The 24,907-nt window shown below is 38.5% G+C and overlaps 1 long non-coding RNA gene across 2 annotated transcripts, besides 3 other annotated features; it reads right to left on the bottom strand.

Moving 5' to 3' along the window:
• Positions 3,690 to 4,240: an enhancer, noted in NCBI's record as "H3K27ac hESC enhancer chr11:95215468-95216018 (GRCh37/hg19 assembly coordinates)". NCBI's record gives its function as "activates a minimal SCP1, AML or CMV promoter by ChIP-STARR-seq in naive H9 embryonic stem cells {active_cell/tissue: H9 hESC(naive)}" and the evidence as "EXISTENCE:reporter gene assay evidence [ECO:0000049][PMID:30033119]".
• On the bottom strand, positions 5,411 to 20,499 carry LOC105369439 (uncharacterized). Of its 2 annotated transcripts, none has more exons than XR_947928.3 (4): positions 20,208 to 20,499; positions 11,451 to 11,611; positions 8,086 to 8,195; positions 5,411 to 5,734 (listed from the first exon to the last, which is right to left on the bottom strand). It is a non-coding gene; the product is annotated as an uncharacterized LOC105369439 (long non-coding RNA). The 2 variants fall into 2 exon arrangements; XR_947927.2 differs by having other exon boundaries at positions 5,621 to 5,734; positions 20,308 to 20,459.
• Positions 9,650 to 10,151: an enhancer, noted in NCBI's record as "NANOG hESC enhancer chr11:95209557-95210058 (GRCh37/hg19 assembly coordinates)". NCBI's record gives its function as "activates a minimal SCP1, AML or CMV promoter by ChIP-STARR-seq in primed H9 embryonic stem cells {active_cell/tissue: H9 hESC(primed)}" and the evidence as "EXISTENCE:reporter gene assay evidence [ECO:0000049][PMID:30033119]".
• Positions 20,173 to 20,373: a silencer, noted in NCBI's record as "peak1408 fragment used in MPRA reporter construct". NCBI's record gives its function as "represses an SCP1 promoter by STARR-seq MPRAs in K562 erythroleukemia cells {active_cell/tissue: K562}" and the evidence as "EXISTENCE:reporter gene assay evidence [ECO:0000049][PMID:32103011]".
• Positions 20,500 to 24,907: the final 4,408 nt, after the last annotated feature.

Genomic DNA, 24,907 nt, shown 5'->3' with positions numbered 1-24,907 from the left:
CAGCTGCATGTACACCCAGCCTATGCCCCAAAATATATGAATCTAGACAAAATAAGTTTTACTTTGGATTTGATTTAGAAGAGATAATATCAAAATGAGAACATTTTCCATGAATAAGTGAACATAATCAGGGTGCTCAATTATAAAATTCAACTGATGCTATTTAATAGAAGTCTGTTTAAAGTTATGGAAATTCTACATGGGATCATGTCTCATGATTATCATACAAAAATATAAAACCAAACTGCAGTTCACACTAATAAATGCTGGGTTAGGTAAAGACACTCCAAGGTCATGAAATTTAGCAATGTGTAAAATTTGAGAAGACTAAGATGAGACGGTGGACTTCTTTTTGTTTCTTGTAAAAAATAACTTTTATAGACCATGTCACCAAAGGAGCAATTAATAAGAAAGAACACATCATTAAACTCTGTCAGGTAATTTATATGCCACAGTGTTCATTGTTCATAACCCAGGCTCTTCTTAGTGAATCATAACATTGTCTTAATTATCACTACCATTCCCGGGTAATTGGTTTCCTTCCCTCTCATCCAGTAATGGGCTTTCAACCAAACTTTTGAACTCTTTTGCAAAGCATGTACCTTAGATTTCACATGGATTGTCATCTTAGGAGCAAATTAACTGAAGTTTTCCCTCACAATGTGGTCAGGTCATAGAGTCCCAAATGCCCGGAACAATGAAAAAAATGACTTCTACCACAATTACCACAAATTCTTCAGACACTTACCAATCCACAGCTTTTTGTTCTGGGTTTTGTAAAGAAGTAATTCAAAGTTAACATTTCTGGAATCCTTGGAGACACAGAGTCTCATGAATATGATCTATTCTGGAATTGCCTCCTTAGGCAAACAAGCTACAACCAGTTGATGCAAGTCTGACTTCATGCTGGGTTAACCTTACAGTGGGAAAAGGCATGACAGGCATGGAGTCATCCTCTGGCCTATTCTTTAAGAAAGATGCTGGTTGTTGCTATTCACACAACTACTGTGAATTATGTGCTTTATTTGGAAATGTAGACTTTTTCTTAAAAGAGTCTTTTTGGACAACTATGGTACAAGATAATTGGCTTGCCTGAATTGTGCACTTTTCAACCAGTTGTTTTAATATCATATACTGTCAGTCCAGTCAGAGAAAGAAATGAATAAATTTTGCATTAGCTAATCCTTCCTCAAAGCTGTGAGATTATCTCAATGAGTTAACTAATGCCTTTATACCAAATGGTTATATTTGAAAGGTATCTGGACAGAGAAGATGAAAACAACATAAAAAAGTGCTTCCGAGAGCTTAATGTATATACAAACTGCCTGGGGAACTTGTTAAAATGCAAATTCTGATTCAGTGGATGTGGGGTGAAGCCTGGGATGCTTCATTTCTGACAAGTTCCCAGGTGGTAATAATGCTGCCACACCAAGGCCCTAGACATGGGCCCAGTTATCCATTTAAACTAGAATTCCACATGACCTTGAGACAGGTGAGAAATGCTGGAGAGTGGTCTGGAGCACAGGTTCATAGCTGGAAATACCTGAGTTTCAATCCCAACTCAACTGCTCAACGACTGAAGTAACTTAAGACACTTAAACACTTAGAGCCTCATCTGTAACATGGGGCTCATTATACCTCCCACTCAGAGGGCTACTGTTGTACAAATGAAATGTATAAATAATTTAACATGTTGCTTTTCATAATTTTCAGATGCTAAAACGTTCATGCAGTCACAAAATACGTGAACTTTATGTTGATATATATGTGCTCCCATAAATATACTTTTAGAAATTATGAGTTAACACAATTTCTATGTATCATTCTATGAATATCTTCATGCCCAAAAGAGCTCAGTGCATTTGAAGCACAGCGTTTTTGGAGGCCTGTGTCTCACATACATAGCTGAACACATGAGCCCTCATTCTTGCTCCCAGATGCAGCTGTCCTACTATGTGCACCGAGGTCTCCTCTACTGCTTTTCAGAAGTACTCTGCTGGTGCCACTGCTGATCCTCCACATCTGTTGAATACCCATATTTTTGATGGACCTCCCACCCGATGCTCTGAGTTCTTACAGTGCCAGGACTGTATTGTTGGTTGGGTGGCAGGGGGCAGGGGGAGGTAGGGAAGACAGGGAGGGGGACATGGAATGGGTTGCTTGGAAGAGAAAGAGTGACTTTAGTCTTCTTGTGCCACAGTCTGCTGAAAGTGACCTCAAGCAGCATGCCCATCTCCAAATGAGTTACAGAATTTAGTGAAAACCAATTTCTGCTTTTTAATATGCCCTTTGTTGTAGGATTCAGATATTGACTAGGAAACAAAACAAAACAAAACTGTGATGTACATTTACTGTAACAAACTTCCCCTGGGACGATGAACTCCGTGCCTGCAGGTGTCTCAGTGTCGGACTGCTGTTGTCCAAGCCCCCAAGCACCGTGGACATGTTCAGTGGTGTCTGATCCCATCGGCACAGAGCTTGGCTTCTCAGGAGGCTCCTCAGAGTCGCGTAAATAGGGTTTCCGATGCCCGGCCTCACCAGCTTACAGACGTGTCTGAATCTCCTTTTCACTCAGGCCACACTTATATTCACTCTTCCCTCCTGAACATTCGTTAGTTAAAACAAAAAATGTGTGAGGTTCTCAGAATTTCTAATGAGGAAAATCAGGGGAAAGGAAATAGAGGAAAATGGCATGTATTAATAAGTGAAGGCACATTGCTCTTTACCTATAACTTTTATCTAAACAGCAATCTATTGAACGAGTTTGGTTTCATAGATGAAGAAATTGAAGTTTAGAGGCATCAAGTAACCTGACCAAAGTTACTGACTTAATAAGTGTCCAAGTTGTGATTTCAGCCCACATTTGGCCTCTAAAAACATGCTATTTCTACTACCCTACAAAGCATTATAAATTAAGAACAGAAGTGCTCACAGAAGGACAATCTACTAATGTGTTGAATGCTAATGAATATTAGTCAGTTGATGGACATTAGCTGTGTCACATTTTCCGGGAATATGACCCTCTTTTTGCAAGGAGTGCTTGCTATTTCTGGAGCATTTTAAAATTGCTTCATTGAGTTCTGGCCGCAGGATATGTTTTTTTTTTTATTTTTTTATTTTATTTTATTATTTTTTTTTTTATTGATCATTCTTGGGTGTTTCTCGCAGAGGGGGATTTGGCAGGGACACAGGACAATAGTGGCGGGAAGGTCAGCAGATAAACAAGTGAACAAAGGTCTCTGGTTTTCCTAGGCAGAGGACCCTGCGGCCTTCCGCAGTGTTTGTGTCCCTCGGTACTTGCGATTAGGGAGTGGTGATGACTCTTAACGAGCATGCTGCCTTCAAGCATCTGTTTAACAAAGCACATCTTGCACCGCCCTTAATCCATTTAACCCTGAGTGGACACAGCACATGTTTCAGAGAGCACAGGGTTGGGGGTAAGGTCACAGATCAACAGGATCCCAAGGCAGAAGAATTTTTCTTAGTACAGAACAAAATGAAAAGTCTCCCATGTCTACTTCTTTCTACACAGACATGGCAACTATCCGATTTCTCAGTCTTTTCCCCACCTTTCCCCCCCTCTCTATTCCACAAAACCGCCATTGTCATCCTGGCCTGTTCTCAATGAGCTGTTGGGTACACCTCCCAGACGGGGTGGCGGCCGGGCAGAGGGGCTCCTCACTTCCCAGTAGGGGCGGCCGGGCAGAGGCGCCCCTCACCTCCCGGACGGGGCGGCTGGCCGGGCGGGGGGCTGACCCCCTCACCTCCCTCCCGGATGGGGCAGCTGGCCGGGTGGGGGGCTGACCCCCCCACCTCCCTCCCGGACGGGGCAGCTGGCCTGGCGGGGGCTGACCCCCATCTCCCTCCCGGACGGGGTGGCTACCGGGCAGAGACGCTCCTCACTTCCCTGATGGGGTGGCTGCCGGGCGGAGGGGCTCCTCACTTCTCAGACAGGGCGGTTGCCAGGCGGAGGGTCTCCTCACTTCTCAGACGGGGCGGCTGGGCAGAGATGCTCCTCACCTCCCAGACAGGGTCGCGGCTGGGCAGAGGCGCTCCTCACATCCCAGACGGGGCGGGGGGGCAGAGGCGCTCCCCACATCTCAGACGATGGGCGGCCAGGCAAAGACGCTCCTCACTTCCTAGATGGGATGGTGGCCGGGAAGAGGCGCTCCTCACTTCCTAGATGGGATGGCGGCCGGGCAGAAACGCTCCTCACTTTCCAGACTGGGCAGCCAGGCAGAGGGGCTCCTCACGTCCCAGACGATGGGCGGCCAGGCAGAGACGCTCCTCACTTCCCAGACGGGGTGGCGGCAGGGCAGAGGCTGCAATCTCGGCACTTTGAGAGGCCAAGGCAGGCGGCTGGGATGTGGAGGTTGTAGCGAGCCGAGATCATGCCACTGCACTCCAGCCTGGGCACCATTGAGCACTGAGTGAACCAGACTCCGTCTGCAATCCCAGCACCTCGGGAGGCCGAGGCTGGCGGATCACTCGCGGTTAGGAGCTGGAGACCAGCCCGGCCAACACAGCGAAACCCCATCTCCACCAAAAAAGTACGAAAACCAGTCAGGCGTGGCGGTGCGCGGCTGCAATCGCAGGCACGCGGCGGGCTGAGGCAGGAGAATCAGGCAGGGAGGTTGCAGTGAGCCGAGATGGCAGCAGTACAGTCCAGCTTCGGCTAGGCATGAGAGGGAGACTGTGGAAAGAGAGGGAGAGGGAGACCGTGGGGAGAGGGAGACAAGAGGGAGAGGGGGAGGGGGAGGGGGAGGGAGAGGGAGAGGGAGAGGGAGAGGACAGCCACAGGATATGTTAATCACATTTTGCCACAACATTGCTAGCCACTAAATTCAAATGTTATAATATCCTATATGCATAATGCCACACAACTGGTTAGAACATGAAATAATGAAGACATTTAAACTAGTGTTTGCCCTTATGTGAGTGTTAAAAGGTTTAACCTGACTAAATTTTTTACAGAATTGATTTTTTAAAAAATAAATAGATTAAATCAACTGGCTGATTTAGCCTTTGAAATTCCAAGAACCCAAGCTCTTCTCAGTTTCTATGAAGCATGAGAAAGACTAAGATCTATGTCAGTGGCCGCCACTTATGAAAGAAACAGGATTTCTTAAAATTTTATTTTTTAAAAATCAAAATAATACAAGTACATGGTGTTTGAAGAAAATCAATGGAAGCTGGGAGAAAATGGGAAGATGTAGTTCAAAGGATATAAAGTAGCAGATATGCAGGATGAACAAGTTTAGAGATCTAATTTAAAGCATGAGGACTATAGTTAATAATATTGTATTGTATTCAGGATTTTTGCCAAATGAGTAGATTTTAGCTGTGTTTGCCATAAAAAATAGATAACTATGTGAGATGATGAATATGTTAATTTGCTTTACTACAGTAATCGTTTTACTATCTCATAACATTGTGTTGTATACCTCAAATATATACAGTAGAATTTATTTTTTAAAAGTTGGTTGGAGAAGATTATAATGAGAATTAGTATTCCCCCATCTTACTTTTTACAGTTAGAGCACATTTGGCTTTAAGTGTAAGACACACAGTTAAAACTGGCTTAAAATATTAAGAAATTTATTATTAAACATACCGAAGTCCACACGCAGGGCAGCCTCCAGGTATGTGTCTCAGGACTGTGACTCTAGTGTTCTGGAGCCCCTGAGTATGGAGCTTCCTCTTCTTCTAGTCACAAGATGGCTGCAACTGCCATCTGTTGAGAGCAGTGCGAGAAAGAGATGGTGTCCCCACTTATGGAACAGACACCCTTCCTTCAGCTTTATTAGGTTATCTTAGATCATGGCCCCCTCCCCACCATGACTAACAGTGGCCAATGAAATGTCAGGCATTGATTGACCAAATCAGTGATACTCTATCAAACTGAATGCCCCCCAACCTTTTGTTTTGAGATGGAGTCTCACTCTGTTGCCCAGACTAGAGTGCACTGGTGTAATCTTGGCTCATTGCAACCTCTGCCTCTGGCCAATGCTCCTTTTATAACAAGTTTTTCATAGTCTCCTCTGTCTTAGCCTGATAACATGTGATGGGCACCATAATCCATCTACACATTGCAATTTCAGGAAGAACTTACATTTACAAAGTTTCCCCAGACAAGCTCAGTTATGCCTAGACCTTTGGACAAAAGATGAATAAAATATGCTTCTTTCCAAACCCAGATCCACCATGAATAGATAAGCTTATGAACTGAATATCTTAACTATTTGTCTCAACTTTTACTTTGCTTTCTGTATTTTGAACAATACTGGGATGTCTGTGTTGTCATCCTTGTTCACTGTTGCTGCCTAAGCCTTAGGAGAAGGGATATCCTTTCTGAGGAATAATCTTGAGCTCCTAACCCTCTCTTCTTTTCTGTAAGACTTGTTAGTACTAACTGATTCTTACCCATTTAAATTCAGGCCATTGCGATGGTTCAAGAAATTGCTATTCAAGTGAGTGGAAGATCTCCAGGATCTCAGGCCCAAGAAAGGAAATACAATATAAAAAATGTAGAGAGAGGTCAACATTGTTTCCCATATAAAGTTACTTCTCAGAGGCGGTTCTTAGAGATTCCACAGCTTTGGATTTTCTAAAGTCAGCCTTTCCCTGGGCCATATTTCTCTATCTTGCTAAAACACACTTCTGTGTGTTAGGACAATTTCCATGAGATATACCACTTAATGCTCACTGGAACATTGTAGGATAGCTGTGACTATACTGTTTTATAGACAGAGAAGAGACTGAGTCCCAGAGAGTGTAGAAAACAGCGAGGGCCCTCGGCAAGTAAGTGCAGAGGTGCAATTTGAGCTGGGATCTGTATCTGTGTGGGTACAAAACCCAGCCTCTTCCTGCCACTTATTTTTTGTTTGTTCGTTTGTTTGTTTTTTGATACAGAGTCTTGCTCTGTCACCCAGGCTGGAGTGTAGTGGCATGATCTCAGCTCACTGCAACCTTCACCTCCCAGGTTCAAGCAATTCTCCTGCCTCAGCCTCCTGAGTAGCTAGGATTACAGGCGTCTGCCACCACGCCAGGCTAATTTTTGTATTTTTAGTAGAGATGCGGTTTTGCTGTTTGCCAGGCTAGTCTTGAACTCCTGACCTCAGGTGATCCACCTACCTCTGCCTCCCAAAGTGCTGGGATTACAGGCATGAGCCACTGTGCCTGGCCTAGTTTTTATTCTTACTTTAAACTGGAGAGTTCTTGAGTTCTCCTGCCCTCAGAAAAATATAGACTACTATAATCTCCAAGTCTCCAAGTCTCCAAACCTCCACCTTTATTGCTTACATTCCTTTTCCCACAGCCCTGACTCTGCCTGGACAATTTCAGCACTGGGAAATTCTCTGCTCTGGAGGCAGCCAGCTCACCTTCAGATGCAGTGATTGTTAGAAAGCTCTTTCAGATACTGTGCCAAAGTTTGCCTCCTTGGAGCTTGGCACACTGGTGCCAGTTCTCCTCTCTGAAGCCTCCTTAGAAAAGTCTGATTCCCATTTCACATAGAGGCTTACAAATATTTGAGCCAAAGTCTATTTGACTTTTTTCAGGTACAATGAATGTGTCTACTTCAGAGCAAGTAATCAACACTTAAGCTATTATCGTATTCCTTGGTGCTCAGGTCTCTCCACTTTCTTCCTTAACTTTACTAGCTTTGTCTCACATACTCCTTTGCAAATGGTTCCTATTTTCTAGCTTCCTGTGACCTACTTCATCCTTATCCTGGCCTCTGACTAATTATTTCTTGTATATGAAGGTATTATTTTTCTTCCCATTAGTGTTAAACTCTACAGTGGCTCTTGTCCATTTACACATTTCCATTTATCAACAGGAACATTTCATTGAATACACAAGAAGCAAGACCTGACAGTAGCAGAACAATATTCACAAAAACCAGTTTGATTCTCTCTTCCTGCCCTCAAGTTTATTCAGCAGAAATAACAGATAACCATGGACATTCTGTATCCAGGGAGTCTTTTCTAGATACTTCTCTATTTAAGCCTTACATGGTGCCCTGTAGCCTGGGTATTGCTTCCCAGTTTGTGGCAAACAATGAATTTCAGAGCATGGGAATACCTGGGCTTGTTAGCAGCCTCTATTCTGAGAATCTTGTCCAGCAGAGCAGTTCTGGCTGATTTCCCCCAGCAGCATGCACAGAAGACTCACTGGGCCAAGAGCTGAGGATACTGGAAGACAAGGCAGGCTCCTTTCATGTGTTGGCCCCTGCCCAGGGCATCAGGGCTACTGCCTGTGTGATATCACTAAAAATGGGGCAGGATAACCCCACCTGTCTCTAAATACATCACTCACTGGACTTGTCTCTTTATAACTCATTACTCAAATGAGATAATGACATAATGCATGCAATATCCATGACATAATTTATATAAAATGTTAGCAGTGTCTGACACATAGTGAGAAATCAATACATTTAACTCTTAGGAATATTATGTATAGTTGCTTATATGAGGTGAGGCATTGAAGCTACTTCAAACAAGGAGCAACATATTGTGCCATAAACACTACTGGCTCTTTAGATTCAATATTAAGCTTGGATAGGACCACTAGGAATAGGACATGGAGGAAAAGGGAGGTGGTCTGATTAGAAAGATGAAGGGAGTTGATAAGTGCTGGCAAGATCAGTAGGGCATTGTAATAAGGACCAGATAAGGACATCAGGGTCCTGTTGGAGAAATATCTAAAAGCAAAAGAAAAAGATGAAAACCACACAGGGCAATAGAAAGATTCCTGCTTAAAGAACCAAGAAACATAGTCCTCATCCAAGCTCAGGCCTTAGCTGTGTGGCTTTCACAAGTCACTCACTCTCTCTAGGTATTTATTCCATATATTTATTCAATATAAAGTGATAGGTTGGGATCAGATTACCCCTTAGGGTCCATCCAGGAGTGTCAAAGACAAAGGCTTCCTAACTTTCCTTAAACCAGCCTGTATATGTAATAAGTTTATAGTATAAAGAGAAACTTTGATAAGTTCTGCAAGTGTAAACATCATCAGAGCTGCATAAGGTGACTTGCAAATAAGTCAAGATAAATATCTATATTTTATAAACCCATGCACAGTGTCTGTTGTCCCAAGGCACCAGTCAATCATACCTGTATTCTGCATTATTTTGTAGTTCAAAACCAGGAAAGCTACCTTGCATGTAATCCTTTAAAATCCATGTGTTTCAACTGGTAGGAGAGGGGCATGTCAGAACTTTTGTGATTACTCAGAGTTTGAAAATGTTTATTTTTTCAACCATTGTATGGTTTGTTTTTATTCCCAGCATAGAATTTATTTTAAAATTTTGAATCATGTTAAGGAAGGACATGAAATTTTGTTTATCAAAATAAGAAGGTAAGTTACCAAAAGAAAGAAAAGAACTGGATGTTTAATATAAGAGTGTTTTTATTTTGTCTTTTATTATTTTCTAAGGAAATTAAAAACTTTCTATCAATCTCCCTGCTTTAGTAAAATAGTAAGCTTAAAGCTGAAAGTTTTGGATTGTTCATACACACAAAAACATGCAAAGAGGAATTTGGAAATTCTCCCAAGCTCAACCTAATAATTTATGAAGATAGATACACAGAGGGCAAAATGAAATATGATACAGAATTATGAGGACCCTAGCTAGATTCTTGAGCCATTACCAAAAAGTTGGGATGGAAAAAATGAGCAGCTGATGAAAAACTTGTATAAATGAGTACCCTCAGAATTCTTTTGAGCTTCAAAAATATATATACAGGTTGAGTATCCCTAATGTGAAAATCTGAAATCTGAAGTGCTCCAAAATTTGAAACTTTTTTATCACCCACATGACCTGACACGTGGAAAATAAGACCTGACCATATGTGATGGGTTGCGGTCAAAATGCAGGCATGCAGCACATCATTTATTTAGCATCTCTGAGGGAAAAAAGACTCTTCACGCCCCTATCTCTTCTGATGATGCCCAGATTCCCCCATGCAATCATGCCCACAAGGGATAATAAAATGGCATTGAGATAATCAGGCACACCAAGGGTAGGTTCCCCACAATGCCCCACATGGGGCTAAGACCAACATGCATTACTCACTGTGTTTTTGCCTATTCTCTGATATGTATTGTAAAATATTGTTGAAAATGTTAAAAAGGGCTGCAGATACCCCCAAGGGTAACAATAATTTAAAAAAGAGGAAGGATTTATATTTATCTATGGCACTGAAAGTTAAACTGGGGAGAAACTGGACGGTGATATAAGTGTGAAATGTCTTACAGAAGACTATGGTGTTGAAATGACCACCACATATGACCTGAAGAAACAGAAGGACAAAATGTTGAAGTTTACACAGAAAGTGATAAACAGAAGTTAATGAAAAATGGAAAAACACCACAAAACCTAAAAATGGAGATTTCAATTGTGTATTAAAAGAGTTGATCCATCAGTGCTGCAAGCAACACATGCCACTTAAGGGTGTGCTGATCATTAAACAAGCAAAGATCTGTCATGATGAACTGAAAATTGAAGGGAACTGTGAATATTCAACAGGCTGGTTGCAGATATTTTTTAGATATAGTATTACATTTTTAAAGATTTGTAATAATAAAGCACGTGCTGATCATGAAGCAGTGAATAAATTCATTAACAAATTTGCCAAGGTCATCACTGATGATGACCTTCGTCATTACTGATGAAAATCTTATGCCAGAACAAGCTTATGATGCTGATGAAGCATTACCGTTTTGGCATTATTGCCCTGGAACTACACTGAGTAGAACTGATGATACAGTTCCTACAGAGAATAAGGATGCCAAAGGCAGAATAACTGAGCTGGGATGTGCTAATGCAGCAGGCACACATAAGTGTAAACATACTGTGATAGGCAACAGCTTGCATCTTCACTGTTTTTAAGGAGTGAATTTCTTACCAGTCCATTATTATGCTAACAGAAAGGCATGGATCACCAGGAACATCTTTCTGATTGGTTTCACAAACATTTTGTACCAGCTGCTCAGGCTCACTGCAGGGAAACTGGACTAAATGACTATTGAAAGATTTTGTTATTCCCTGGCAACTTTCTGCTCATTCTTCAGCTGGAATTCTCATTAAAAATAATGTTTATGCCATATACTTTCCCCCAAATATGACTTCATTAATTTAGCCATGGGACCAGAGCATCCTTCTATCAATGAAAAGTAAATATAAAAACACTTTTTGAAAAGCATGCTAGCAGCAGTGAACAGAGGTATGAATATGGAAGGTTTTCAAAAGGAGTTTAGCATGAAGGATGTCATATATACTACTGCCAATGCTTGGTACACAGACTAAAGACACATGCCTGTCACAACCTCCAGCCTGTGACTGTGTTCAGTGATGATGAAGAAGATGGTGACTTTAAAAACTTTGTATGTCAAGTGAGAAAAAATAAAACCCAACCTCCTTACTTTTGCAAAAAACATACCTTCAGAGTCTATCAGCAAGCTGGAAGAAGTGGATATCAAAGAAATTATTCACACCAATAGTGAGGCTCCAGTTGTTCATTCATTGACTGATGGGTTCTGAATCAAGGTGATTGTAGTAATAGTAATGATGAAGATGATGTTGACACTGCAGAAAAAGTGTCTATAGACAACATGGTGAAAATGTGTGATGAGATTATTGAAGGACTAGAGCAGTGTGTATTCACAACAGAACAATAAATAACGTCAGTTTATAAAATCAAAGAGAGACTTCTAAGGCAAAAACTGTTGTTAATGAGGAAAATGACTCTGGAGAAAACAACTTCAAAAGCCATCTAGCAAAATACCTCCTCTTCCTTAGAGGGCCCACTTCCTGGTCCCTCAATTGCTTCTGATGCTTTTTCTTACCTTAGAAATAAAATTCAGTGTACATTAAACCTTTTAATCAAAACACATCATAGGTGGACCTGAAAGCCTGCTGTTATTTGCTGTTGCTGTTGTTGAACAGTGGATACAGGTATTGTGGTGATGCTACTGTGCTGCTGAGTTACCCTGAACACATTGAGTTTTCACTGCATTAATGGTATATCACTATATTAATGGTAAGTCATGTTGTTTACTGTTAAATACTTATGTGTGAATAATTGTAAGAAAGTGATTGCTTATTGGTAGCATATAAATTCAGAGTCAGGAATGATGCTGCTGCCAAACAACCACAGATCATCCATATGGATGGCTGAGATAGTGACGCCTTTGCTTTCTAATGGTTCAAGGTAACAAACTTTGTTTCATGCACAAAAATTATTTAAAATATTGTGTAAAATTACCTCTAGGCTATGTGTATAAGGTGTATCTGAAACATAAATAATTTGTGTTTAGACTTAGATCCCATCCCCAAGATATCTCATTATGTATATGCAAATATTCCAAAATTCTAAGAACATCTGAAGTTTGAAACACTTCGGGTCCTAAGCATTTTAGATAAGGGATATTAACCTGTAGTCCCTCATACACATACACTTCACCACACCCAACTTATGTGCAAATGAGCTTTGGCACTGAGTGCAATTTAAGAGAAGTGTTCAACCAATCTGATGAGGAGGACACTACTGTGCTTCCATTCGTAGGAGGTATGCTTTGAGTTGCTTTGCCATTCTGAGTGATGGATGGGTTTGCAATCAGCTATCCACATTCTTTGGCCCAAGAGCTAACACAATTGACTATGAGCACAAATGTATAGGCAGCAACCACAGGTTAGAACTATGATCTGTGATTATGCCTCACGGTAAGGCTCATGTATCCTCCTGGGACACATCTAATCAATATGTCAGTGAGCAATTCTTCTGCTCAGTTTTTTCTGAAATACCTCTTTGATCATTTCATTGCACTAGTCAAAACACTTCCATGGTCACAGGATAACTGGTCAATATACAGCAGTAAAATGTATTCTTATATGCTGCAGCAAAGAATAAAATAATGGAATTTACAAAACACTATTTACAGTAACATCAAAAAAGCATCAAATACTTGGGAGTAAATCTTTAAAAAGACATTCAAGACCTAAAAATTGTAAAATATTGCCTAGAGAAATTAAAGGGAACCTAAATATGTGGAGTAATATATCATGTTTGTGACTTAGAAGATTCAATATTGTTAAGATGCCAGTTCTCTCAAAATTGCTCTACAGACTCAATGAAATTCCAATAAAAATTTAGAGTTAAGGCTGGTCTGAAAATAGTGAGTTATCTCAATTGATTGTTCACAGTCAGTCACAGATTGAATTCCTTGCTCCCCCTTCTTACTAATACACTTGACTACTCTGAAAAATAAAAGAAGTATTAGAGTTGATTCCAAAGTTTATATAGAAGTGTGATATAAATACACTTGGTAAATGTTTGGATGCGAATAGCCAAAAGAATTTTGAAAATTGGTGACAAGTTTTGGGACTCACATTACCTGAATCCAAGATAAATTACAGTGCTATAAAAATCAAGCCAGTTTGGAAGTGGTGTAAAGCTAGATAAAATATATCAATAGGATAGAATTAAGAGTGTAGAGATAGATCCAAACATATACAGTCAATCAACTTTCAACAAAATATGCAAGTGATTCAATGGGGAAAGGTAAGTCTTTTTAACAAGTAATGTTGGAATGACTGGATAACCCCATGGAAGAAGAAAACAACAACAAACAATAAACCTCTACCCCTACCTTATACCACACACAGAAGTTAATTCTACGTGAATCACACATGTAAACATAAAGCTAAAACTATAAAACTTCCAGAAGAAAACCTAGGAGAACATCTCTGAACTTGGGGGTAGGTAAAGATTACACAGGATCCAAAAATCTATACTCTTACCAAAGTAATGTTGCAGTTCATCAAAATTAAAATTTCTGTTTACCCAAAGTCACCATTATAGAAATTAAGAGGCAAACTGCAAACTGGTTAATACTATTTGCTTTACATATATCTAATAAAGAATTTGAAACCAGAATATATAAGGAACTCCTACAGATAGAGACACAAAAAAACCTTCAAAAAATCAATGAATCCAGGAGCAGGTTTTTTGAAGAGATCAACAAAATTGATAGACCACTAGCAAGACTAATAAAGAAGAAAAGAGAGAAGAATCAAATAGACGCAATAAAAAATGATAAAGGGGTTATCCCACCAATCCCACAGAAATACAAACTACCATCAGAGAATACTATAAACACCTCTACGCAAATAAACTAGAAAATCTAGAAGAAATGGATAAATTCCTGGACACATACATCCTCCCAAGACTAAACAGGAAGAAGTTGAATCCCTGAATAGACCAATAACAGGCTCTGAAATTGAGGTGATAATTAATAGCCTACCAACCAAAAAAAGTCCAGGACCAGACAGATTCACAACTGAATTCTACCAGAGGTACAAGGAGGAGCTGGTACCATTCCTTCTGAAACTATTCCAATCAATAGAAAAAGAGGGACTCCTCCCTAACTCATTTTACGAGGCCAGCATCATCCTGATACCAAAGCCTGGACACAACAAAAAAAGAGAATTTTAGACCAATATCGCTGATGAACATCGATGCAAAAATCCTCAATAAAATACTGGCAAACCAAATCCAGCAGCATATCAAAAAGCTTATCCACCATGATCAAGTGGGCTTCATCCCGGGGATGCAAGGCTGGTTCAACATACACAAATCAATAAACGTAATTCATCACATAAACAGAACCAACAACAAAAACCACATGATTATCTCAATAGATGCAGAAAAGGCCTTTGACAAAATTCAACACCCCTTCATGATAAAAACTCTCAATAAATTAGGTATTGATGGGACGTATCTCAAAATAATAAGAGCTATTTATGACAAACTCACAGCCAATATCATACTGAATGGGCAAAAACTGGAAGCATTCCCTTTGAAAACTGACACAAGACAGGGATGCCCTGTCTCACCACTCCTATTCAACATAGTGTTGGAAGTTCTGGCCAGGGCAATCAGGCAGGAGAAAGAAATAAAGGGTATTCAATTAGGAAAATAGGAAGTTAAATTGTCCCTGTTTGCAGATGACATGATTGTATATTTAGAAAATCCCATTGTCTCAGCCCAAAATTTCCTTAAGCTAATAAGCAACTTCAGCAAAGTCTCAGGATACAAAATCAATGTGCAAAAGTCACAAGCATTCCTTTACACCAATAACAGACACACAGAGAGCCAAATCATGAGTGAACTCCCATTCACAATTGCTTCGAAGAGAATAAAATACCTAGGAATCCAACTTACAAGGGATGTGAAGGACCTCTTCAAGGAGAACTACAAACCACTGCTCAACGAAACAAAAGAGGACACAAACAAATGGAAGAACATTCTATGCTCCTGGATAGGAAGAATCAATATTGTGAAAATGGCCATACTGCCCAAGGTAATTTATAGATTCAATGCCATCCCCATCAAGCTACCAATGACTTTCTTCACAGAATTGGAAAAAACTACTTTAACGTTCATATGGAACCAAAAAACAGCCCGCATTGCCAAGACAATCCTAAGCCAAAAGAACAAAGCTGGAGGCATCACACTACCTGACTTCAAACTATACTACAAGGCTACAGTAACCAAAACAGCATGGTACTGGTACCAAAACAGAGATATAGAACAATGGAACAGAACAGAGCCCTCAGAAATAACACCACACATCTACAACCATCTGATCTTTGACAAACCTGACAAAAACAAGAAACGGGGAAAGGATTCCCTATTTAATGGTGCTGGGAAAACTGGCTAGCCATATGTAGAAAGCTGAAACTGGATCCATTCCTTAAACCTTATACAAAAATTAATTCAAGATGGATTAGAGACTTAAATGTTAGACCTAAAACCATAAAAACCCTAGAAGAAAATCTAGGCAATACCATTCAGGACATAGGCATGGGCAAGGACTTGATGTCTAAAACACCAAAAGCAATGGCAACAAAAGTCAAAATTGACAAATGGGATCTAATTAAACTAAAGAGCTTCTGCACAGCAAAAGAAACTACCATCAGAGTGAACAGGCAATCTACAGAATGGGAGAAAATTTTTGCAATCTACCCATCTGACAAAGGGCTAACGTCCAGAATCTACAAAGAACTCAAACAAATTTACAAGAAAAAAATCAAACAACCCCATCAAAAAGTGGGCAAAGGATATGAACAGACACTTCTCAAAAGAAGACATTTATGCAGCCAACAGACACATGAAAAAATGCTCATCATCACTGGCCATCAGAGAAATGCAAATCAAAACCACAATGACATACCATCTCACACCAGTTAGAATGGCAATCATTAAAAAGTCAGGAAACAACAGGTACTGGAGAGGATGTGGAGAATTAGGAACACTTTTACACTGTTGGTGGGACTGTAAACTAGTTCAACCATTGTGGAAGACAGTGTGGCGATTCCTCAAGGATCTAGAACTAGAAATACCATTTGACCCAGCCATCCCATTACTGGGTATATACCCAAAGGATTATAAATCATGCTGCTATAAAGACACATGTACATGCATGTTTATTGCAGCACTATTCACAATAGCAAAGACTTGGAACCAACCCAAATGTCCATCAATGATAGACTGGATTAAGAAAATGTGGCACATATATACCATGGAATACTATGCCACCATAAAAAATGATGAGTTCATGTCCTTTGCAGGGACATGGATGAAGCTGGAAACCATCATTCTGAGCAAACGACCGCAAGGACAGAAAACCAAACACTGCATGTTCTCACTCATAGGTGGGAATTGAACAATGAGAACACTTGGACACAGGACAGGGAACATCACACACCGGGGCCTGTCGTGGGGTGGGGCGAGGGGGGAGGGATAGCATTAGGAGATATACCTAATGTAAATGACGAGTTAATGGGTGCAGCACACCAACATGGCACATGTATACATATGTAACAAACCTGCACATTGTGCACATGTACCTTAGAACTTAAAGTATAATAAAAAAAAGAAGAAAAAAAAGAACTCCTACAACTCAATTGGAAAAGACGAATAACCCAATAAAAATGACCACAAGACTTAGACACTTAACAACAACAACAAATTCTATGTGAATGACTAATAAGCCCATGAAAAGATACACATTGCCATTAATCATGAGGGTAATGAAAACTAAAAGCATGATGAGATACCACTTCACACCCACTAAAATGACTAAAATTAAAAAGACAGACAACACCAAATGTTAGCAAGGATGAGAAGCAATAAGAACTCCATATTGCTCTTGGGAGTGTAAAGGAGTTCAACCACTTCGGGAAAAATTGCAGTTTCTTACAAATTACACCTAATCTTTGACCAGTAATTCAATTTTTGAGTTATTTATCCAAGAGAAATAAAAGCATATGTTCACAGAAAGATTACACAGAATGTTTATGCCAGCTTTATAGTTAACAGCCCCAAACTAGAAACAACTAAATGTTCATCAACATCAGAAAGGATAAATAAATCATGGTACAGTCTTACAATGAAATACTAGTCAGCAATTACAAAAACAAACTACTGGCACATGCAAAACATAAATGACCCTCAAAAGAATCATGGTGAATGAAAAAAGGCTGACATAAAAGAATATTTACTGTATGCTTCCAGTTGCATGAAGTTCCAGAACTGACAAAGTTTATTTACGGTGATGGAAAACACAGCAGTTGTTCTCTGTTGGGAAGTGACGATTGACTGGAAGGGGTATGAGGTGATAGAAAAATGCTCTCTGTTTTGTTTAGAGCTGGTTACATGGGTATATACCTTTGTCAAAACTCAGAATTTTATACTTCAGGTCTGTGCTTTTGACTGTTCACAAATTTTTCCTCCAGTTAAAAGCATAGTCTTTGAAATCAGACAGACCTCAGTTCAAATCTTGAATTTGTCACTGACTAGCTGTGTGATCCTGGACAAATTCCTTAATCCCTCTAAGTATTAGTTTCCTCACCTGTAAAATGGAAATAATTTCAATTTCACAGGAAAGATACAAGTATAAAAATGGGAGTATGTTTTAAAGAGATGAGCACAGTGTACACATTCAATACATTCTATCTATAGCTATTTTTACACACGATAAAAATCAAACTTTTCAGCTTTGCATTTAAGAGCTTCATAAATATGGCCTCCATCCATCTTGCCACTCTTTCTCCCACTATTCTACTAACTTTATTGTATTTAGCTACTTTGTGTTAGTCTTAATTTTTTTGCCCAACCAAACTACAAGGTAGTAGAGGATAGAATGCATCTCCCCAATTCTTTCAGTGCTTCTCTTATTAATTCTAGAAAAACAATTTAAACTCTATGAATTTCAGAGTTCTCGCTTTTAAATTAGGGTCATAGTTCCAACCCCATAGAATTGTTCTGGGGATTAAATTTTATATATATATATATATATATATATATATATATATATATATATATATACACACACACACACACACACATATATATATACACATATATATATACACACATATATATACACATATATATATACACATATATATATACACACACACTATGATCTATATATAGAATTCTATATATGTATCTCATATACACACATATGATTTGATTATTTAAAGAATAAATCATCTGAGCATGACTCATTAGCTATTGACTTCATGCAGGTGTCTAAGAATCTAATTAGAAGTTTAATATATTAATTTACATGTCCCAGTATGTGAATGTTACATATATATATATATATTTCACATATCCAATAAAATGCAAACCACTTCGGAAAAGCTGAAAAATAATTTTATCAATAAAATAATGCAACTTTCTGTTTGAAAATATGAAGCAGACCTGTCTAGGTACTTCAACATTGTAGTAACTAGTATGCTAATGGAACACAAATAAAATATTCTTCTTTGTTTAACACAAATCGGAGTCACCCAAGAGATATATGTGCTTTATTGGGTGTGTGAAGTTTATATATAGTGATACATATATATATATATATATATATATATGTTTGTTTAAAACAAATAACAGTATTTTAGATTGTCCTGGAGGTGATAACCCTGGTAAAAAGAACACTGGTGGGAAGTTAAGAAACCTTTTTCAATGTTCTGGCCCTGCTACTAACTAGTAATAGTAACTTAAACAAGCCCCTCACTCTCCCTGGACATCAGTTTCTTTAGAGGTTGCATGAATTTGTCTCCCACCCTTAACATTTTCGTGATAGAACTTCCACTCCACTGATAATGAATAGGTGTTGAAGGATTGATATAAATTAGATCAAGTATTTTTATCACAGCAAAATTAAGTGAGAAATTATAACACATTACTAGAGAAAGACTATACATTTGGAAATTAAGTAATGTATAGGCCAAAGAAGAAATAAAGAAGTAAAAGTTTAAAATATTTAGAATGAAACAATAAGTAAAATATTGTTTTTAAGCATAATGAGATGTAAAGTGATTTGGGGAAAAAAATTTTAGCATTAAACTTATTCATTATAAAGCCAACTATTCAAAAATTAATGAGCTAAACATTGAAATTAAGGATTAAAAAAATAAAATCAATGAAGACAAAGAAAACAGAAGAAAGAAAATTATAAAGAGCAGAAATGAAGGGAGAATCTACAAAGCAAAAATTTAGTACTTGAAAAGACTAACAAAATCAACAAATCATCAGCAAGACTGATCCATAAAAAAGAGAGAAAGTACATAAAGGAGCCAAAGCATTTATCTGATAGAGATTAAAAAGATAAGAAGATATGAGGAACTTTTTGTGTCAAAAACTTGACAACTTAGATAAAATGGACAAATCCCTAGAAAAATATAATTTACCAAAACCTACCTAAGAGAAATGAAAAACCTGGCCAATAACCAAAAACCATGTTAAAAAAAATCTTCCCATGCAGATAAAGCAAGCTGAAAAAGTTCTACTAAACATTAAAGGAAAAAAATAATTATTAACATTTGCAAACTAGTTGAGAGCACAGAAAAGAGGAAATACTCCCCAACTCAGTTTATGAGGCTAGCATAATCTTGAAGGTTAACTGATGACAATATGAGAAAAATAAAATTATGGGTCAGTCTCATTCATGCAATTAGTTCCAAGAAATCCTAAGTAAAACACTGAAAATACTGGCAAACTAAATTTAGCCATGTTTAACAATGCTTAAAAAGATGATACATTAAGATCAATTCCGGTTTTTCCTATTTACTGGATAGGGTCGGCTAACTGCTGCACTAAATTTTAAAACGTATACTGACTCACATGATAAAAGTTTACTTTTTGCTCATGAAAAGTCCAAAATGAGTGAGCCGTGTAGAGAGACTGAGAGACCCAGGTATCTGTCATCTTCTGGCTTTACTACCTTCAGTAAGTAGCATCCAAGTCCTGTGCTCATGCACATCCGCTGTGGAAGAAGAACAAGGAGCTAGGACCGCACATAGGAGGTAATTAGCCCAAGCCTGGAAGTGGAGTACATCGCTCACAGTCCCCCGGCCTGAACTCAGTTGCATGTGCCACTTGACTGCAAGAGCAGCCAGGAAGTACAGCTTTGCTGTGCGCCCAGGAGGAAACGGAATGTATTGGGAAAACAGCTAGCCAGTATTTGCAGCATCCTAATAACAGGGTGTAATTTCTCACGTTAGCTTGTGAAAGGAGAGAATGCATCAATCATCTTAACAGATAGAGAAAACAATCATGTAAGATTTATCACACACTCTGAAAAAAATTTATCAAACTAGGAAGAAAACTGTCTTAACCTCATATAGAGTGACAGCAACAAAACTAATTGCAAACATAATACTTAGTGGTAAAACACTAAAGCTTTCCCTGTAAGATCAGGAGGACCAAGCCAAGATAAGAATTATTATTACTATTTACATTCAATGCTGTATTGGAGGTCATAGTTGATATGCAAATAACACAAAATTAAATAAATGTAAAACATGTAAAAGATTAGAAAGTAACAAAACTACCATTTTTTCACATTTGATGTAACTGGCTATATAAAAAACCCAAGGGAAACTACAGAAAAACATTACAATTAATAAGAAAATTTAGCAGGCTTTATAGATAAAAAACTAATATAAAAAATCAATTGTATTTTAATATACCTGGCTATACAGATCAAAATACATAACTGAAAATGCCATTTGTAAAATCTTCAAATATAAAAACATAACTAGGGATAAATCTAATGAATGATGTAAGAACTTTGTGGAAAAAATTATAAACTTTATTAAAAGCTAAATAATTAGATCAGGAATACTCACTGTGGCAAAGATGTCATTTCTCCTTAGTGTATCTGTATAGATTTAACGCAATTCCAATTATAATCCCAATTGGATTTTCATAAACCTTGAGAATGTGATTGTAAAATTTAAATGGAAATACAAAAGGCCAAGAAGTTCCAAAAAGTCCTATAGAAGAAGAATGTGGTATGGTGAGGGATTACCCTACTCTATAAAGGTATAAATTGTATAAATATATGAAATTTAAGACAGGGTGGTATTGACCAAGCAAGAGACAAACAGTTCAATGGAGAGGGCCCAGAAGCAGCCTTGAATGTATAGGTCCTCCTTACATATAACAGAAGGGTCACTGCAAATCAGTAAGGAAAGGAGAGACTAGTCAGTAAATGGTGCAGACAGTGAATTATACTTATGGAAAATAATGCAACTGAATTACTACCTAACCTAATCAGTTCTAAATTGATTAATGCATGAAGGTAAATGGCAAGTGCATTTAAAACTAAATTGATAAATGCATTAGGCAAAATATAAAGGCAAAACATAAAATTTTAGAGTGATATCTAAGGGAATACACCTTCAGTTTAGAGAAGGACTTCCTATGATACATACCAACTGTAAAAGAAGATTGATAAATTCAATTATGTTAAAGTTAAGAATTTTGTTCCTTAATGAAAAGAATGTCTTTTCCATTCATGAAAAGACAACACAAAGGGAATAAAAAGAAAATCCAGGAGCTGCAACATATCACCAGTGAAGTATTATTATTCACAAAATATATAAGGAATTGCTAAATTTCTTGCATCAGAATTAAACAAATTATGCAATGAAAATGGGAAAAACAAATGGTAAATAGGCATGCAAATATTTTCATCCTCCTCAGTAAAACCGCAATGAGATATCATTTTATTCCCACCAGTTTGGAAAATATTAAGAAGCCTGAGAATACACAATTGGCAAGATCAAGGAACAATGGCAACCCCTACACACTGTCGTAGGAGTTTAAATTGGCACTATCATCCTGGAACCTACCTGGCATTACCCAGTAAAGTTGAGCATGTCCTACTGAAGCCTGACAGTGTCAGTACCAGGACTAAGACCTTGAAAAACTCCTGCTCATATGCATCAGAAGACATGAAGAAGAATGTTCAATACCACGCTGTTTATAATAGAAAATATGGAAAACAACCCAAAGTTTTACCAACAGAAGGACAGTAACCAAACTGTGGTCATACAATGCAATGCTATGCAGAATCGAAAATCTCTGGAGTGAGATGACATGCAGCCATATACATAAATCTCACAAATGTAAAACTGGGCCAAACAAGCAGGTTGCAGAATAGCACATTCAGTATCAGTCCACTTATAACAAGTCAAATAATATTATCATATGTGGTTTTAAAAAAAGCTCTGGGAAAGACAAATACAATGTTCACCAGTTAGAGGTTAACTCTGGGGAGGGAGAGGAATTAATCAGGGAGGGCTTAATAACCTACTGCTAAATATTTCATTCTTACACTGTGGTGGTGTGTTCAGATGTTCATTTTTGTCTTTTTAAAAATACCTTACTTACATGCTGTTAATATTCTTTTGTATGTGTAAATATTTAATTTAAATATTTTTAAAATTCTCTACTTCTCTATGCTTATTAAGAGCTAGAGATGTAAAAGAGGTCACCTAGCTGCTGCCCTACAGTTTTATAGTAAAAAAGAATATTCCTCTCAGCATATCTCTCTGATAACTAAATTTCTTTTCCTTTCCCTTCTTGCTTTGACAAGGGATAAAATAAATATCCTTTAGGGAAAACAAAAAATCACTCTGAATATCACCTCTATATTTTGAGACATATTTGCTCTTTATTTAGATAACAAATCAGCAGTAACTTTTGGGCCTTTCTTTGATCTAAAAGAAAGTAGATTGCAAAAAGAAGAATCAAGTCCCAGCCATGAAAACCAAAGACCAGCTCTAACATGTCTCTTACTTTTGCAAGAGCTTTTACCCCATTAAGGCAACTATTATTATGCACATTTTACCAATGAGGTTTATGAGAAACTGGGAAGAGAAATGACTTGGACAGAATTAACAGATTTTTATGAGAGCATTAAGGCAACATTTGATTTTCTGATTGCCAGTCGTGCGTCCTGGGTATTTTTTTTTCGTTACCACATTTATTGGTACAAGAAGGATAAATTCTCCAATGGTAAAACAATTTGGGGCAGCTGACAGACCAATGAGAGATATTTTTGGATGAGGGATATTTGCCAAGAGCACCCATATGTAATCATTCTCATTATCTCCCTCCCTCCACCTCTTCCTTCTACACACCCCCTCCACCTGTTCTCTCTCTCTCTCTCACACACACACACACACACACACACACACACACACAAAGTATCTATCTGTTCATACATCATTTTGGCATAGAAAAATTAAACTTTAACTAGACATAGGAGGTTGTTTTAATTTCCAGAACTAAAAGATTGGCACAGCATGGCCCATGAAGGTCCTTGTGATTGGGCCCCTGCTTATGTCTGCCACAAGAAGGTCAGATCCACCTTATCTCAGCACATCTTTCCAACACGGTCTCATAATCTTTTACTCTAGCCTTCTCTCCCAGCTAATGCTTTTCTCCTGTCCCTCCCTGGAAAAGTAATTTGGTATAAGCCTCAGTTTCATCTTCTGAAAAATAAAAATATTACCTACTAATATCAAAATTTTGTTAAACATGTTAAAGGACATTGCGTGTCTCCAAAGGAGCAACTAGAGACCATAGACCAAAAAAAAAAAAGAAAAAAAAAAAACTGAAAAGAGACTTTGGGATGAGGTACAAGGGAAATATCAAGGGTGATGAAGATGTTCTATATGTTGAATATGGTGGTAGCTACACGGTCACATAAATTTTCAAATGCACACTTAAATACACACTTAAAATGGGTTCATTGGATTGCATATAAATTGCACCTAAATGAAGCTAAAAGAGACTAGAAGGGTGTACCTCTAATTATTGAAGTAATCCATCACCCTTTCTCCCCTGACTCCTAGCTTTCTAAAGGGAAGCAGGACTGGCATAGGAAAATCCAACCGTTAGCATTGTATCTCATTATCCCCCTTGGTCTACACAAAGAGGATGGGGGAAAAGGAAGAGAAAAAAGAGGGAGAGTCAAGTCTGTGGCCTTCTGTGCAATCAGTGGTTAGGAAGAGGGAAGGGTAGAGAGGTGTACTTCCCCCAAAGGTAAGGGAAACATTGATGTTGTAAGAGAATCACTCACAGATATGAGAGTACCTACAAAAAGAGGAAGCTGGTATCTTATCACCTTGCTAAATTCTTGCTGAAATGCAAAATCTGCAGTCCACCTGTTATTGCCACAAGAACTAAGCAGAGAACAATGAGGAAGGGTTTGCCATATATACCCTGAAGTGTTGAGATCTAAATAAACATAGAAACTGGTGCTACTTCTTTCTGGAGATTTCTGAAGGAGGTAGGCTTGCTAGGGAGCCTGCCTCAGCAAGGTAAGAAGGGACCCTGGTTTACTACACCAGGGAAGAAGATGGAGGAAGCCTTCAATCTATCCTGTTTGACCACTGGAGCATGGGAATGATGACCCCTATGGTTCTCCGGACCTACTAGAAGGGGTCCATGGCTTACAGGAGAACATAGGAGTCATATAGTGGCCAAATAAGGCAAAGCCCTACATGGAGAAAGGGTTGGGAATGTGG

This window comes from Homo sapiens, chromosome 11 (genome assembly GCF_000001405.40).
Source record: "Homo sapiens chromosome 11, GRCh38.p14 Primary Assembly".
NCBI classification, from domain to species: Eukaryota; Metazoa; Chordata; class Mammalia; order Primates; family Hominidae; genus Homo; species Homo sapiens.
The sequence above is the reverse complement of the archived record's forward strand: the minus strand, read 5'-3'. Positions and strand labels throughout refer to the sequence as shown.